The 16,207-nt window shown below is 54.4% G+C and overlaps 2 non-coding genes and 1 pseudogene across 8 annotated transcripts, besides 4 other annotated features; all 3 read right to left on the bottom strand.

Moving 5' to 3' along the window:
* Positions 1-210: 210 nt before the first annotated feature.
* LOC107985532 (uncharacterized) lies at positions 211-10,393 on the bottom strand (annotated as a pseudogene). 6 transcript variants are annotated; one of them, NR_169729.1, is made up of 7 exons: positions 10,243-10,393; positions 9,108-9,232; positions 8,407-8,561; positions 5,425-5,585; positions 3,888-4,793; positions 1,553-1,737; positions 211-669 (listed from the first exon to the last, which is right to left on the bottom strand). The product of NR_169729.1 is annotated as an uncharacterized LOC107985532, transcript variant 1 (transcript). The 6 variants fall into 6 exon arrangements; NR_169730.1 differs by lacking the exon at positions 5,425-5,585 and having other exon boundaries at positions 211-1,737; positions 9,044-9,232; NR_169734.1 differs by lacking the exons at positions 5,425-5,585; positions 8,407-8,561; positions 9,108-9,232; positions 10,243-10,393 and having other exon boundaries at positions 211-321; positions 3,888-3,931; positions 4,112-4,308; positions 4,602-4,814.
* Positions 4,734-5,063: a silencer, noted in NCBI's record as "silent region_13513". NCBI's record gives its function as "represses an Ori minimal core promoter by ATAC-STARR-seq in GM12878 lymphoblastoid cells {active_cell/tissue: GM12878}" and the evidence as "EXISTENCE:reporter gene assay evidence [ECO:0000049][PMID:35858748]".
* On the bottom strand, positions 9,189-9,270 carry MIR130B (microRNA 130b). The gene has a single exon (NR_029845.1). It is a non-coding gene; the product is annotated as a microRNA 130b (primary transcript).
* Positions 9,466-10,137: an enhancer, noted in NCBI's record as "H3K27ac-H3K4me1 hESC enhancer chr22:22006726-22007397 (GRCh37/hg19 assembly coordinates)". NCBI's record gives its function as "activates a minimal SCP1, AML or CMV promoter by ChIP-STARR-seq in primed H9 embryonic stem cells {active_cell/tissue: H9 hESC(primed)}" and the evidence as "EXISTENCE:reporter gene assay evidence [ECO:0000049][PMID:30033119]".
* Positions 9,516-9,593, bottom strand: MIR301B (microRNA 301b). The gene has a single exon (NR_030622.1). It is a non-coding gene; the product is annotated as a microRNA 301b (primary transcript).
* Positions 9,880-9,929: an enhancer, noted in NCBI's record as "active region_18699". NCBI's record gives its function as "activates an Ori minimal core promoter by ATAC-STARR-seq in GM12878 lymphoblastoid cells {active_cell/tissue: GM12878}" and the evidence as "EXISTENCE:reporter gene assay evidence [ECO:0000049][PMID:35858748]".
* Positions 10,138-10,808: an enhancer, noted in NCBI's record as "OCT4-H3K27ac hESC enhancer chr22:22006055-22006725 (GRCh37/hg19 assembly coordinates)". NCBI's record gives its function as "activates a minimal SCP1, AML or CMV promoter by ChIP-STARR-seq in naive and primed H9 embryonic stem cells {active_cell/tissue: H9 hESC(naive and primed)}" and the evidence as "EXISTENCE:reporter gene assay evidence [ECO:0000049][PMID:30033119]".

The raw sequence follows: 16,207 nt of genomic DNA, 5'->3' as shown, positions 1-16,207 counted from the left end.
CCCGCCTCAGCCTCCTAAAGTGCTGGGATTATAGGTATGAGCCATTGTGCCCAGCCAAGGCCTTTGAATTCTTATTCATTGCTGGATGCAAAATGGTACAGTCTTTTTGGAAGACAGTTTGGCTATCGTACCCTATGATTCAGCAAGCATGCTCCTTGGTATTTACCCAAATGAGTTGAAAAGTTATGTATACTCTAAAACCTCCACACAGATGTTTATACTGCTTTATTCATAATTGCAAAACTTGGAGGCAACCAGGATATCCTTCATTGGGCGAATGATAAAATGTGGCATATCCAGGCAATGGAATATTATTCAATGCTGAAAAAGATGAGCGGCCAGGTGTGGTGGCCTAACTGCCTGCACCTCTTGACTCCCCACTTAGCCTGTGTGACTCATTCAGGTCTGGCCTCCACCTCCAGGCAGTCCTCCATCCCCCAGGCTGGGTTCAGACCTCCTTAGTTCCCAGCGTGCCCGACCCCATCTCCTGTACCCCTAACCAAGCTCAAGGTGGGCACAAGAGATGGTCCCAATGTATCTGCTGAGTGAATGAAAGCCACGTCATTCTTATGGCTCTTCTATAAGGTACTTTTCTTCAAATGAGGCCAACAAACTTATCCTGAGATTTCCTTTCTATCCTCCAGGTGAAGAATTTGGACATTTCAAGATCTGAAGTGAAATTAAACTGGAATGGCCTGTCACGAAACCCAAGGAGGTCGAAGGGGTTTACTCTGGGCTTGAGGGAAATGAAAAAGGAGCATCTTGGGGAGTGTCCCATGTGCCAGCCTAGGTCACCATTTCTTCTCAGTCTGTTAGTGAATCCTCACAACCATCCTGAGTGCTTATTCTCATTTTACAGTGGAGGGGTCTGGGCTCAGAGGTTGGCTCTGTGTAGGCAGTGCCTGTGCCCGTGCTGTAGAACTGCACATGAGGTGTGGAGGGGCCTGGGGCTGACGTCCCCTCTCTGCCCTGTCTTGCAGCCACATGGTTGATCTGACTGGTTGATCTGACTCCCTTGGTTCTCAACCCTGGAGGCTTCCATTTCTCATATGTGGCTGGAAACAGCCTGCCCAAGCTCCATTGCCCTGGCTCCCCCTGGTAAGCATGCCTCCGCACCTCCCTGGGGCCAGACACCATCCTGGCTCTAACCCAGTGCACTGCAGGCAGAGGGTAGCATGGGGAGCCATGCCCACAGGGAGAGGCAGGAGTGGGGCTGGAGATGTGGGAGGGGCCCCCTGGTTTTCCACCTGTCCTTTGGGAGCCCCAGGATCCTGTCTGGTCTACACTATGCCTACGGTCTTTGGTCCCTTCCCTCCACTGCCCTGCAAGTCGGTCAGTGGGAGCCTCCCCCACTCCAGGCAGTCCTGGGTGCCCCCTGCTCAGAACAATCCCAGGGGCTCTCCTGGGCCTGTAGCCGTGGATCTCAGCCCTCTGCTTTTAAGCAGCAGACCCCTCTTTGCAGACAGGGTCTTGATGCACAAAGCAGATAAACGGGGTTTGCTCTGGTTAAGGCGTTGGGTGGGGGTTGAAGGCACCAAGGGGCTCCACCTACTTGGCTTTAGGCAAGCAAGGCAGCCCCAGGTGCCAGGGGGTGATGAGGTCACCACGGAGACCATGGTGGTGGTAGCGGCAGAGGTGGCAGCAGGGTTGGTGGCAGGCATGGGGAGGTCAACCGGTCCCACAAGAGGTTGGGTTCTGGTTTCTTCTGTCTTGGCTTCTTTCTCGTCTTCTTGGTGTCTGCAACAAAAGGTGCCAGTGAGTGCCTACCTTGCAGCTGGAGCAGGTAGAGTGGGAGCCAGACACAGTGGTATGGGGTCTTCACGCAGTCCCTCCAACAGGAAAGTGAGGGGGCCCCAAAGAACACCATGAACAATACCTAGAGCCACTGCTGACAGGGGCCAACATGCCCCATCTCACCAACCTCACCTTGGGGGGCTACAGGTGCTGTTGGTCCAACAATCAGTGGAGGGCTCACTCTCAATGCTCCAGAAAGTGGGACCCCCAGGCAAGCTGGGCCTCTCCATGTGACACAGAAGTGAGTAGCCCCACACTAGTGTAGGCACCCACGAACACAAATATACTGAAGGAACTGAGCCTGAATCCAATCGAGCTTTAGAGCAACTGTCCAAGAAATACAGGCAGAGGAGGAAGCAACCCACCAGCAGACCGTAACAGACGCAAACCCGGGAAGTGGGACTTGCCAGAGGACGACACCAGACAGGCTATCCCTCCTCAAAGGGGACTTCAACAGAAGTGGCCAAGGACCCAGGGCCATCCCAGTGTACATTTGCTGCCCCTGTGTGGCCACATATATGGCCCCCTTTCATTTCATTCTCACAAGGTTCCCAATTTAGACACTAATTATACAATCACCCTAGTTAAAAGGAACCTAAGAGGCCTAACAGCCAAACATAATGAATGTGTGAGTCTCACTGGGTCCTGAGGTGACAAACCAAGTCTAGAAAGACTTCTGTGGCCCATCTAGGAGAGGTGACTATGACCAGCTGATGTCAGAGAACTGTTGTCAATTATGTAAAGTGTAACAATGACATTGTGATTATGTCAGCAAATGTTTGTTTTTGTAGTTGTCACTTTATAGAGACAGGGTCTCACTCTGTATCACCCACGCTGGAGCACACTGGTGTGATCATAGCTCACCATAACCTCAAACTCCTGGGCTCAAGCTATCCTCCTGCCTCAGCCTCCCAAGTAGCCAGGACTACAGGCATGTGCCACCACACCTGGCTATTTTAAAAATTTTTTTGTAGAGATGGGGTCTTGCTATGTTGCCAGGCTGGTCTCCAACTCCTAGGCTCAAGAGATTCTTTTACCTCAGCTTCCCAAAGTGCTGGGATTACAGGCATGAGCTACTGTGCCCAGCCAAATGCCTTTTTTTTTTTTTTTGAGATGGAGCTTCTCTCTTGTCACCCAGGCTGGAGTGCAGTAGTGCGATCTTGGCTCACTGCAACCTCTACCTCCCAGGTGCAAGCGATTCTTCTGCCTCAGCCTTCCGAAGTAGCTGGAATTACAGGCAAGCCCAGCTAATTTTTCTGTATTTTTAGTTGAGACGGGGTTTCACCATGTTGGCCAGGCTGGTCTTGAACTCCTGACCTCAGGTGATCCACCTGCCTCGGCCTCCCAAAGTGCTAGGATTACAGGCGTGAACCACCATGCTTGGCCTTTTTTTTTTTTTTTTTTTTTTTAATTAAGATGCATTCTAAAGTAGTCAGAGGTACAATGATGTCTGAGATTTCCCTTCAAATACTTCAGAAAAAGGCCTAGGGTTATGGAGAGTGAAACACATTTGGCAAGATGGGGACAGTTGCTGAGGCTGACGACAGGTTCTTGGGGGTGTTCGCTGTCATCTCCAGTTTTGTACATGTTTACTTTAATAAAAAGTGCCTCTTTTTTTTTAAGTGCCAAACACAGGGCCAGAGACAAGCCACAGGGCCACACCAAGGACATGGTTGGTCGGTGCCAGGACTCTCTCAACTTTTTTTTTTTTTTTTCGAGACGGAGTCTCACTCTGTTGCCCAGGCTGGAGTGCAGTGGCGCTGTCTCAGCTCACTGCAACCTCCGCCTCCTGCGTTCAAGCAATTCTCCTGCCTCAGGCTCCTAAGTAGCTGGGATTACAGGCACGCACCACCACGCCTGGCTAATTTTTGTATTTTTAGTAGAGACGGTGGTTTCACCATGTTGGTCAGGCTGGTCTCGAACTCCTAATCTTGTGATCCGCCCGCCTCGGCCTTGTCCCAAAGTGCTGGGATTACAGGCGTGAGCCACCGCACCCGGCCTTTTTTTTTTTTTTTTTTAATTGATTCAGGTTTGCTTGGTTGCTTGAGCCAGCCCTACCTACAGGCCTTCATCCACCACTCCAAAACACTCACCAAGGTGAGCAGTGAGGGCTCTCTCTCTCGGAAAGGTGGCCCAACTTGCTCAGGATCACACAGCCAGGAAGGAAGTAGCAGAGCTGAAGTCAGTCTCCTAACTAAAGAATCTAGCTAGGGGCAGCGCCTCTCCTCCCAGGTCCAGACTGCCCAGGCCCCTTCCTGCTCTGGATAAAACCTGATCCAAGGAGGGCAAATCCAACCGGAAGAATGGAGGTGGTCACCTAGCCCTCGGCCTGGCTGCACTGGGCTCAGACCCCCGCCCAGGGCCCAGCACGGGGAGAGGTTGATCCTCGCCCCGGGAGTAGAGGTGCACGCGGTGGATGCTCTGCTTCAGCTGCTCCACCTGCTCGTGCATCTCCAGGGCGCCCATGCTGTTGCAATGGTTCAGCTCCGCCTGCACAACACAGAAGAACTTCGCCTGCAACAAGAGTAGGAGAGGCAGGGCAGGGGGAGGTCCGGGGCGTGAGACGCCTGCCCGCTCCACTCCCCAGGCTGTGCAGCCTCGGCTTTCTGATAGATCCTACCCTGCAGCCCCAGCTAGGCCGACGGCGACCTCTCCACCCCACCCCCATCCCCGGCCCCCAAAGCTCCAATCGTCGGAGCTCTTTCCTAGGGGACGGCGGACCCGGGTAGTGACAGTTCCCGCCCAGCCGGTCCCATGCCCCGCGGCCGCATCCGGAAAAAAGAGAGCCCGCGCTGTTCCAATTGTACCACCCTCTCCGCCAGCGACGGGTTGCGGACGGGGCTGCGGAAGAGGAGGCGCAGCGCGCGCCCAGTGTAGGTGTCCGCCTGCCTCTCCAAGTCCTCCTCGGAGATCTGCTGGCAGGTCTTGCTCTGCGGGACCTCGCTGTCGAACTTGTCTAGGATCTCTACGAGCGAGCGCGGCTGGAGAGCCCGGGTGGCCTGGAAGCGGAGCAGGCGTCTGGGCGGGGCTCCCGAGGGTCTCGGCGCGCCGACCGCCACTCCCCCCGAGGCCGGAGCGTGGGGTCACCAGGGGAGGCGGGGCCCGTCGTGCGGGACTGCCGGGACGCACCCTCTCTCCCCACGGCCGCGGCGCAGGTGCGGACTCTCTAGCCTACTGCAGCCGCGCCGCCCCGCCCCAGCCAATCCGCGCGGAAGCCGGGGGCGGGGCCAATCCCCAGTCGCCTGCCTCAGGCGACAATGCCCGTTGCTCTGGGCACGCGCGCTCACGACCTCGAGGGGGCGAACGCGGCTGCGCGGGTCCTGGCCCAGTTCCGCAGGGGCCATCGGGCCTTTGACCCGGGTCGGGCTCTTGGCTGCGCCGAGGACGTGGTTGGTCAGCAACTTCTTTAAGGTCCCCACCTCTCGGCAGGCCCCTAGTCCCCTCCGACGGGCGCCCCTCCTCGCTGTCTGTAGCCTCCCGGGCCTCATCCAGGCAACGCCCCGAGAACTTCACTCTGCCCCTAACCCCTCTAGTTCGGACTTTTCACCCTCCTCCCTCTCCTTCACTCTCCATTGGCCTCCCCAGATTCTGCGCTCTCCTCCCCTTTACAGCCACTTGTTTGCTCTGTACTCGCTGCATCTCCGGCCCCTCCTCAGTGTCCTGTTCCTCCTGCTCCACCTCGCTGTCCTTTTCCTCTTGCCCCTCGAATGCGTTTCTGAAGGTCCTGGCTTCACCGTCTCATCTGGGACGATCTTACACACTTCTTGTTCCTGATTAGAACCCATAACTGACTGAAAAACACACCCACTGTGTCTCACCCTTCAGCTCCAGACCCACATCCAAATGACCACTGGGGACGATTCTTGGGCATCTCATGCTGAACATGTCCACATTCACGCACAGCTTCTTCTCCCTGAAAGCTACTTTTCTTACCCCTCTCCCCTCCTACTTGGTCAGCCACTGACCCCAGCCACTAACAAGGGGGTGCACCCTGGACTGCGTCCTCCCTTGTCCCCTCCTTGTCCTCCATCAGCCCTGAGATCCATAGTGTGCCTGAGACGTTTAATCAGATTTTTCATCTCTTACTGCTAAACCACCACCCCTCAGCTCTTCCAACATAGGAAGTGACATTTATTTCCTCCTGCCTGGGGACAACCAAAGAAGAATGAGGTCTGTCCTGATCATCTTGTCTAGGAGTGCAGGCAGAGAGACTTGTCAGGTACACTTGGGCTCAAATCTCTATTCTACTTCCTGCCCTGGTGTGACTTACAAAATGAAACTTTAAAATCTATAGTATGTGCCTTTTTTTCTTTCTTTTTTTCTTTCTTTCTCTCTCTCTCTCTCTCTCTCTCTCTCTCTCTCTCTCTCTCTCCCTCCCTCCCTCCCTCTCTCTCTCTCTCTTTCTTGTCGGAGTCTCACTTTGTCGCCAGGCTGGAGTGCAATAGCGCGATCTCAGCTCACTGCAACCTCCGCCTCCCAGGTTCAAGAGACTCTCCTGCGTCAGCCTCCGTACTAGCTGGGACTACAGGCATACACCATCATACCCAGCTAATTTTTGTATTTTTAGTAGAGGCAGGGTTTCTCCATATTGGCCAGGCTGGTCTTGAACTCCAGACCTCAGGTGATCCCCCCGCCCTCGGCCTCCCAAAGAGCTGGGATTACAGGCGTGAGCCACCGTGCCTGGCCAGGATGTGCCTTTTTTCATACAGGACAAGCACCCCCTTGAGGGTGGAGCAGATCCCTAATCACCCTCCCATCATGTCATTCCAGTAACCCATGCTTCACACTTTATACCTGTATTTGTATTTTTAAAAAGTGTAGGCCGGGCACAGTGGCTTACAGCTCCCAGCACTTTGGGAGGCCGAGGCGGGTGGATCACCTGAGGTCAGGAATTCGAGACCAGCCTAGCAAACATGGCGAAACCCTGTCTCTACTAAAAATACAAAAATTAGCCGGGCGTAGTGGCACATTCCTGTAATCCCAGCTACGCGGAAGGCTGAGGCAGGAGAATTGCTTGAACCCAGGAGGCAGAGGTTGCGGTGAGGCGAGATTGCACCATTGCACTCCAGCCTGGGCAACAAGAGCGAAACTCCGTCTCAAAAAAAGGGTGGGGGGTTATTGGGCCCCTCCTCTTTGTCAGACACTGCCAAGAGATTTTTTTTTTTTTTTTTGAGACGGAGTTTCCCTCTTGTTGCCTAGGCTGGAGTGCAATGGCGCAATCTCAGCTCACCGCAACCTCTCCCTCCTGGATTCAAGTGATTCTCCTGCCTCAGCCTCCTGAGTAGCTGGGATTACAGGCATGCGCCACCATACCTGGCTAATTTTGTATATTTATTTTTTATATTTTCAAGAGGGAGTCTTGCCCTGTTGTCCAGGTTGGAGTGCAGTGGCGCGATCTTGGCTCACTGCAACCTCTGCCTTCCGGGTTCAAGCAGTTCTCTGCCTCAGCCTCCCTAGTAGCTGGGATTACAGGTGCCCACCACCACACCCGGCTAATTTTTGTGTGTGTGTGTGTGTGTTTTTAGTAGAGATGGGGTTTCACCATCTTGGCCAGGCTGGTCTTGAACTCCTGACCTTGGACCCACCTGTCTCAGCCTCCCAAAGTGATGGGATTACAGGCGTGAGCCACTGCGCCCAGCCTAATTTTGTATATTTAGTAGAGATGGGGTTTCTCCATGTTGGTCAGGCTGGTCTCAAACTCCCGAACTTAGGTGATCCACCTGCCTCGGCCTCCCAAAGTGCTGGGATTACAGGCATGAGCCACTGCGCCTGGCCAGAGATTTTTTAAATGACAGTTGTCTCTGCCTCAGGGGCTCCCAGTCTAATGGACACTTCTGCCACAGGGAGAACATTTTGATTTAGGCCGGGTGCGGTGGCTCATGCCTGTAATCCCAGCACTTTGGGAGGCCCAGAAGGGCAGATCATGAGGTCAGGAGTTCGAGACTAGCCTGGCCAACATAGTGAATCCCCGTTTCTACTAAAAATACAAAAATTACTGGGTGTGGTAGCACCTGTAGTCCCAGCTATTCGGGAGGCCGAGGCAGGAGAATCGCTTAAACCCGGGAGGCGGAGTTTGCAGTGAGCCAAGATCGTGCCACTGCACTCCAGCCTGGGCGACAGAGCAAGACTCCATCTAAAAAAAAAAAAATTTGATTTAACAAGCTGTTCTGGAGGAATATTCAATGCTGTGAAGCCCAGAGAAGGCTTCCATTGGGAGGGAGCCAGTGAGCAGAGCCCTGAGTTCAGTCTCCCCGCAGCAAGAGCAGGAGACAGCTGCATGGGGGTCTCCAGCCAGTGGGTACAGAATCTGTACAGGACTGAGGGGTGGCCACCTCCAGCCATGGCCCCTGGTGCCTAGAGGAAGGGAGGATGGATCTAAGTCAGATGACCCTAGGATCAAGGAACCCCAAGGGATCAGGACTAGGAAGCCAAGGAGCATGTGTCATTGCCCCTGTTCCTCCCACGGGTGCCAGGGCTTCTCTCCCCAGGGTAGGGGTAAAGCAGTTTCCCAATGCGCCCAGCTAGGGATGAGGGGAACTCCCAAAAGCCCATCTGGAAACCTAGTCCTCCTCTAAAGAAGATTTGAATGACTGTGACTGGGCACGTAGAAACCTTTTGCACCGTGTCAGGTCTTGATGGTAGAGGTGGTCATCCAAGCATGCCTGGGGTCAGGCTCCTTGGAAGTTCAGCTCCAACCCTGTATTCCAGCTGGGACGGTTGGAATGTTAGACACCTCAGTCCCTCCTGCAGGTTCAGGGCACACCTCTCTGTAAGAGAACAAACTGGCATGGTTGGTAGACATCATTTGCAGGCTTTGTATCCCAAGTCCACCCATCCATCTCACATAGTACCACTCCAGCTGAGTCCACTCAACTGATCAGTCAACTGGTCAGTCCATAGTACCACTCCAGCTGACGTCCTGGGGTGAAGGCTGCCTCCTGAAAGGCCTGCCTTACCCCCTTACCCAACTGCCACCCAGAAGAACATTCTCTCCAGAGCCTGGCCCTGTTCAAGCTTCCAGCAAGGACTGGGCCCAAGCCAGGCCTAGAATGATCTTCCATGCAAAAGACTGGGCGTGTATTTCCCCTAAGACCCTGACCAGGCCTGGAGTTCCAGTCTTACCCCAGGGACCCAATGTGGAAAGACCTTCAAACAAGAGCTTTTCAGAAGCTGGGGAGGTCTGCTCCTGCACCTGTCCAGCCATGACAGGATGGAGAGTTTAGGGATGATTCTCCAGCTCTGCACCCACCTGATCCTCTGATGGAGGGTCCAGTCCAGCTTCACATCTGTGCCTAATCAGTGGAAACACTTACCCTCTGGGCACCTCAACCTTCTCAACTGGAAAGTGGAGTGAGGCAGCAAGCTCCCTTTCCCCCTCCCAGGGTAGCAGGCTGGACCTGACCGATGCCCTTTCATCATTGCACTGCTTCCCAGCGGCCTATAGTAGTGCAACAGGGAAAGAGTGTCGGGCAGGCCTGCCAGTGCCTCCCCCAGGGTGGTCTGCAGGGATCTGAGACCTGGAATGCAGGCTGGCTGGGGCGGGGCCTCTGCCCGGGGGGAAAGGGTGCCCTCTGACCCCAGAGGCCCAGGCCTGTCTAGAATCTCAAGTTTCCATGGAGAAGGGAGCGAATTGGGTAGGGGGGAGGGGAGGGCCTGCAAGCCCAAGGGGCCCTGCCTGGGGAGTGGGAGGTGAGGGTTATAGGGAGGGAGATCCCCAAGGCTGGTCCCAGATGCTTTGACAATATCATTGCACTGCTTCTCAGAGCACAGTAGTGCAACCTCGTCAGAGCACCTGCGGCCAGCAGGGGGGACCCCACCACCCCCAATACACGCAGGGCGGGAAGCTCAACCATGGATGGGTGGGTGGGGCAGAGCCCCCGTCCAGTCCATCCGGGCAGGGAAGGAGACCGCAGCGGGGTGCGTCCCTGGGGTCTTCAGAACCCAGGACACCCAGGCCTTTCCCAGAACGCTCCGGATTGAGGTGGAGGAGAAACCCCAGACTAGGGGGTTGTTCCAATCCCGGAGCAGGAGCTGACGGGCCACGCAGGGGAGGGGGCGCACACACAAAGACGAACCCGCACTCAGCCGCAGTCCAAAGCCGGCTAGCGCCCGGAGCGGGGTGGGTACAGCCCGACGACCCTGCGCCCTGACTCGGCCCGCGGCTCCAGGAGAAAAAGGGCGGCCCCACCCCGGGACGACGCGCCCCTTCTAGCTGACGACTCCATCCCTGGCCCCTTGCCCTGCACTAGATACACTCTGGATTCTTTTCTAACATATTCTTCTGCCTGGAGGCCCAGAGTGGAGCAGAGGATGGGGGCTCCCCGCCCTTCTAGAGTTCCCTGCTCCAAAGAGGGCCCCCGGGATCCCGGCCGCGCCCCTCCGCCTGACCCGCCGAGTAGGGCCGCCCAGCCCAGCCCAGGATCCCCTCCTCAGACACAGCTGACTCACGCAGACATCCCTTCCGCCCAGGGCCCGGTCAGGACGCGGAGGGTTAGACGGAAGAGGATCCCGGCCATCGTCTGCCCCCGGGTCCCCGTCCAGACGACCCTGCACCTCGTGGCGGCCCCTCGCCTGCCGGCTCCATCTTTAACCCGCTGACAGTCGGAGGGGCCGGGCCCCCGACTCCTTAGCATAGCGCTGCGCTCATTGGCCGGCGCTGGCGCGGGGATTCGCCTCCTGCATGCCTGTTGGCTGAGACGGGAGAGATTTCAAAATAGCCTCCGGGTTCCGATTGGCCCGGCGCCGGCCGAGTCTCGGGCTCCGTGGTTTTAACAATGAGTTCTACAAACACTTTTTCCCCATTCATAACTTATCAAAAGGAACTTTGCCCGCCTTTTCTCAGCTCCAATCTCTGCGAGTTTTCTAGCGACACCGACAAGAGCGCTTGGAAGCCCGGTGAGGGGCGCCAGGCGCGAGCCCACAGTGGGGGAGGCCGAGACCCTGTGGAAATTCCCGAACCCCCGCCAAGCCTGCTGTGAACGCGGCCGCGGGCTGCTTTGTTATGCATGCTGAGGTTGCTCTCTGCGCCTCCTGGATGGGATATTTGGACGTGGTGGGCTTACAAACTGGGGTAGCCCCCCTCCCAACTCAACCACCCCGGATCGCCCGGCAGGACGCGAGTGAGGCTTTCCTGAAAACCCCCGGGTATGGCTGGGCTATGGAGACCGGGTCCTGGGCCCCGTGGTCTTTTGGATCTGTGGGAGATATGGGGAACGGAAGTGTAAGCTTTGGTTTCTTCGTGATTGTGATCCACTTTGCGGAGAAGCATTCATTAAGCGCCTACCCTTCGCTGATGACTAGGAAGTATATTGATCACCGGGCTGTTGAACGGCTCCTAGAGGGAAGGGAGGAGCTGTGCTTAGACAACTGTGCCCCTGCAACCCCTCCTGCTTTATTATCGGTCCAATGGCTGAGAGCAAATGTTTTTGAGGCAGGCAGAGGTGGTTTTGAATCTTTATGAACCCCTGTTGCCTTCTTGCAAAATTGAGATGGCAATCAAACCTGCCCCATAGGGCTGGCTGTTGCCAGCAGCAAATGAGATGCTGTGTAAATTGTTGGCCCAGCACCTGGCATTTAGTAAGTGTTCACTGAAAGTGAGTTCTGCTGCCACTACAGTTTTTATTTTTGGCCTTGTCCTGCATTCTGCCTGGAACAATCTTATCTGCTCCCACAGCATGGGCTTTGGTTGCCCAGGGATTCCCACTTGTGCACTGTTGGGTTCCTCTTGGTCAACACTCCTCACCTCACTGCTTACCTATGTGTGGTAACGGAGGTGGGGGAATAGACAGAGAGGGAGGAGTGGGCTTTGACAGCCCATAGGAGCTGGGGCTGGACCAGAGGAGTGCCCCCTTGGATTTGCAGGGTGATATGGTTTGGCTCTGTGTCCCCAGCCTAATCTCATCTAGAATTGTAATCCCCAAGTGTCAAGGGAGGGACCTGGTGGGAGGTGATTGGATCATGGGGGCACTTTCCCCCATGCTGTTCTCGTAATAGTGAAGGAGTTCTCACAAGATCTGATGGTTTTAAAAGTGGCAGTTTCCCAGCCTGGCCAACATGGTGAAACGCTGTCTCTACTAAAAATACAAAAATTAGCCAGGTGTGGTGGTGTACGCCTGTAGTCCCAGCTACTCAGGAGACTGAGGCAGGAGAATCACTTGAACCTGGGAGGTGGACGTTGCAGTAAGCCGATATCACACCACTGCACTCCAGCCCGGGCGACAAAGCAGGACTCCATCTCAAAAATAAATAAAAGTGGCAGTTTCCCCTGAGCACTCTCTCTCTCCTGTCACTGTGTAAGACATGGCTTGCTTCCCCTTTGCCTTCCACCAGGACTATAAGTTTCCTGAGGCCTCTCCAGCCATGCAGAACTGTGAGTCAATTAAATCTCTTGTTTATAAGTTACCCAGTCCCAAGAAGTATCATTTTTTTTTTTTTAACTGAGACAGAGTTTCGCTCTCATCACCTAGGCTGGAGTGCAATGGCACGATCTTGGCTCACTGCAACCTCTGCCTCCCAGGTTTCAAGCAATTCTCCTGCCTCAGCCTCCTAAGCAGCTGGGATTACAGGTGCCCACCACTACTCCCAGCTAATTTTTGTTTTTGTTTTCAGACGGAGTTTCTCTCCTGTCACCCAGGCTGGAATGCAATGGTGCGATCTCGGCTCACTGTGACTTCCGCCTCCCAGGTTCAAGTGATTCTCCTGCCTCACTCTCCAGAGTAGCTGGGATTACAGGCGCCCGCCAGCAAGCCCAGCTAATTTTTTGTGTTTTTAGTAGAGACGGGGTTTTACCATGTTGGCCAGGCTGGTCTCAAATGCCTGACCTCAGGTGATCCACCCGCCTCGGCCTCCCAAAGTGGTGGGATTACAGGCGTGAGCCACCGTGCCTGGCCACTCCCAGCGAATTTTTGTATTTTTAGTAGAGACAAGGTTTCACCACGTTGGCCAGGCTGGTCTCGAACTCCTGCCCTCAGGTGATCCACCTGCCTCTGCCTCCCAAAGGCATGAGCCACCATGCCCAGCCTCAGGTAGTATCTTTATAGCAGTGTGAGAACGGATGAATACATAGGATGTAGTCTACCCTGTTGGTGCCCCACCCATATCCCCTTGGCACTTACCTCTACAGAAAGGATGCTCATGGCCAGCACCTGAGGCTCAGCCTGGGGGCCTTATTCTGGCTTCAGGAGTCCCTTACCCAGTGTACAAGGCCAGTGCAAAGTGCTACAGAGTGGCTCCCCCCACCCACTCAGCAGACCCAGCCTGTGAGGGAAACTACTTTGGGAGGTAAGTACCTCACTTCCTTGCCCCTTGAGTGGAATAGCTTTTATTTATTTATTTATTTATTTATTTATTTATTTATTTATTGAGACACTCTCACTCTGTCGCCCAGGCTGGAGTGCCTCAGCCACCCAAGTAGCTGGGATTATGGGCATGCATCACCATGCCCAGTTAATTTTTGTATTTTTTTTTAGTAGAGCTGGGGTTTCGCCTTCTTGGCCAGACCGGTCTTGAACTCCTAGCTTCAAGTGATCCGCCCGCCTTGGTCTCCCAATGTACTGGGATTACACATGAGAGCCACTGCACCCAGCTGGGTGGGATAACTTTGATGCACGTTCTGCACTGGGTCCCAGAGATCCCCAGTGGGATTGAGCTCCAGTTGCCCAAAGGGGTAACTTGCTCAATAATGCACCTTTCACTAGCTTCTTTCCCTTCCCCTCTCACAGCCCCATTCCTCTGTGCCAGCATTTTCTGGAATCACCTCCCAACAATATACTTCCATTCAAATCCTCTCAGGTCAGATGAGTAATGGGAGAGATGGATAGACTTGTAGATGATCCTCAAGAAGTTTAACGATGAAGCCAGGTGCAGTGGCTCATGGCTGTAATTCCAGCACTTTCAGAAGCCAAGGCGAGGGCCAGGCACAGTGGCTCATGCCTGCAATCCCAGCACTTTGGGAGGCCGAGGCAGGCACATCACCTGAGGTCAGGAGTTCGAGACCAGCCTGGCCAACATGGCAAAAGCCCGTCTCTACAATACAAAAATTAGCCAGGTGTGGTGGCACTTGCCTGTAATCCCAGCTATTCGGGAGGCTAGGAAGGAGAATTACTTGAACCTGGGAGGCGGAGGTTGCATAGAGCCACGGCACTGCCTGGGCGACAGAGTGAGACTCCACCTCAAAAAAAAAAAAAAAAAAAGGAAAGAAAAAAAGGAAACCAAAGTGGGAGGATCACTCAAGCCCAGGAGTTTGAGACCAGCCTGGGCAACATAGCAAAACCCTATCTCTACATAAAATTTAACAATTAGCCAGGTGTGGTATGGCATGCCTGTGGTCCCAGCTACTCAGGAGGCTGAGGTGGGACAACCTCTTAAGCCCAGGAGATAGAGGCTGCAGTGAGCTGTGATTGCGCCACTATACTCCAGCCTGGGTGACAGACCAAGATCCTATCTCCCCAAAAAAATAAAAAAGAAAAAGCCAGGTGCTGTGGCTTACACCTACAATCCCAACACTTTGGGAGGCTGAGATGGGAGAATTGCTTAAGCCCAGGAGTCCAAATTCACAATTGGCTAGAGCTTTTCTCCCACCCCCTCACCCCACCCCAAGGCTTTTTTTTTTTTTGAGATGGGATCTTGCTATGTTGCCCAGGCTGGAGTGCAGTGGCACGATCTTGGCTCACTGCAAGCTCCACCTCCCGGGTTCACGCCATTCTCCTGCCTCAGCCTCCCGAGTAGCTGGGACTACAGGCACCGCCACCACATCCAGCTAATTTTTTTGTGTTTTTAGCAGAGACGGGGTTTCACCATGTTAGCCAGGATGGTCTCAATCTCCTGACCTCGTGATTCACCCACCTCAGCCTCCCAAAGTGCTGCGATTACAGGTGTAAGCCACCATGCCCGGCCTTTTTTTTTTTTTTGAGATGGAGTCTCACTCTGTCACCCAGGCTGGAGTGCAGTGGTGCAATCTCGGCTCACTGCAACCTCCGCCTCCCGGGTTCATGCCATTCTCCTGCCTCAGCCTCCCAAGTAGCTGGGACTACAGACGCCCGCCAGCACGCCTGGCTAATTTTTGTATTTTTAGTAGAGATGGGGTTTCACCGTGTTAGCCAGGATGGTCTCGATCTCCTGACCTTGTGATCCGCCGGCCTTGGCCTCCCAAAGTGCTGGGATTACAGGCGTGAGCCACCATGCCTGGCCCCCCCCCCCCTTTTTTTTCTTTTTTAAAGAGACAGAGTCTGTTGCCCAGCTGGAATGCAGTAGCACCATCATAGCTCACTGCAGTCTCCAACTCTTGGGCTCAAGCAATCCTTCCACTTCAGCTTCCCAAAGCACTGAGATTACAGGCGTGTGCCACCATGTCCAGCTGCTCCATCCTTTAATAAGGTCAACTGAGGCCAGGCGTGGTGGTGCAAGCCTGTAATCCCAGCACTTTGGCAGGCTGAGGTGAGCAGATCACTTGAGTCCAGGAGTTCGAGACAAGTGTGAGCAACATGGCAAAACCCTGTCTCTAGAAAAAATACAACAATTAGCTGGGTGTGGTGGTGCATGCCTGTAGTCCCAGCTACTCCAGAGGCTGAGGTGGGAAGATCATTTAAACCTGCGAGGTGGAGGTTGCAGTGAACCGAGATTGCACCACTTCACTCCAGCCTGGGCAACAGAGGCATTGACAACAACAAAAAACCACGAAAGGTCAATTGATTTCTCCAGTGCAAGGTGCTCTGTCCACACTATTCCGAGCCTCTTTCAGCCAGCTGCCACCCCTAGCCTCTCCTTGGGCTCTTTTGTTCTGCTTCAGGGAAGCAAACCGTTATACTCAGTAGCTCCCATGGCCGACCCACAGCAGCCCAGCTAAGTTATCAAGTCCAGGAAGCCTGTAATCTCTGCCATAACCGCTAGAGGCCACCAACACACCAGCAAAGCTAACAGTTCTCTTCCTTTATTAGGGCTCTCCTATTTCGTCTGCTCCTGCCTTAAAGGTACGATACTCTGGCCTGCCCAAATTGTGCCTACTCTTCCAGGCAGCCTTCTCAGATCTCTGCAGGTAGCAGTTTTATGTGGCTGCCTTCCCTTGCAATATCTTCTGTAGTTCTGTTATTTCATTGAGACTTTCAAAGGTCGTGGTGGGGGCCTGAGATGCCATGTGCCTATGGTGGGGTGCCATTTGCACCCGGTGAGTGAAACTGCAATGCTACTTTCCAGCAGATGGGCAGAATCCTCACCTGTCCCTTGGTCATATACAGGTGTCAAGACTGCCACAACTGACAGGAGAGTGAGCTCCTCACATCTAGGGATGAGGGAGCTGGAGAGCTTGTGCCCCATCCCAGCTGACAGGGAGTGGGGCTCCCACCCATCCTGCTCTGAGGTCTGGCCTTGGCCCTTAACAGGAAGGTTCATAAAGCTAAGGGGCTGGGGACCTGGGGTC

Source organism: Homo sapiens, chromosome 22, assembly GCF_000001405.40.
Source record: "Homo sapiens chromosome 22, GRCh38.p14 Primary Assembly".
In the NCBI taxonomy this organism is placed as follows: domain Eukaryota; kingdom Metazoa; phylum Chordata; class Mammalia; order Primates; family Hominidae; genus Homo; species Homo sapiens.
This window is presented reverse-complemented; position numbering and strand designations above follow the sequence as displayed.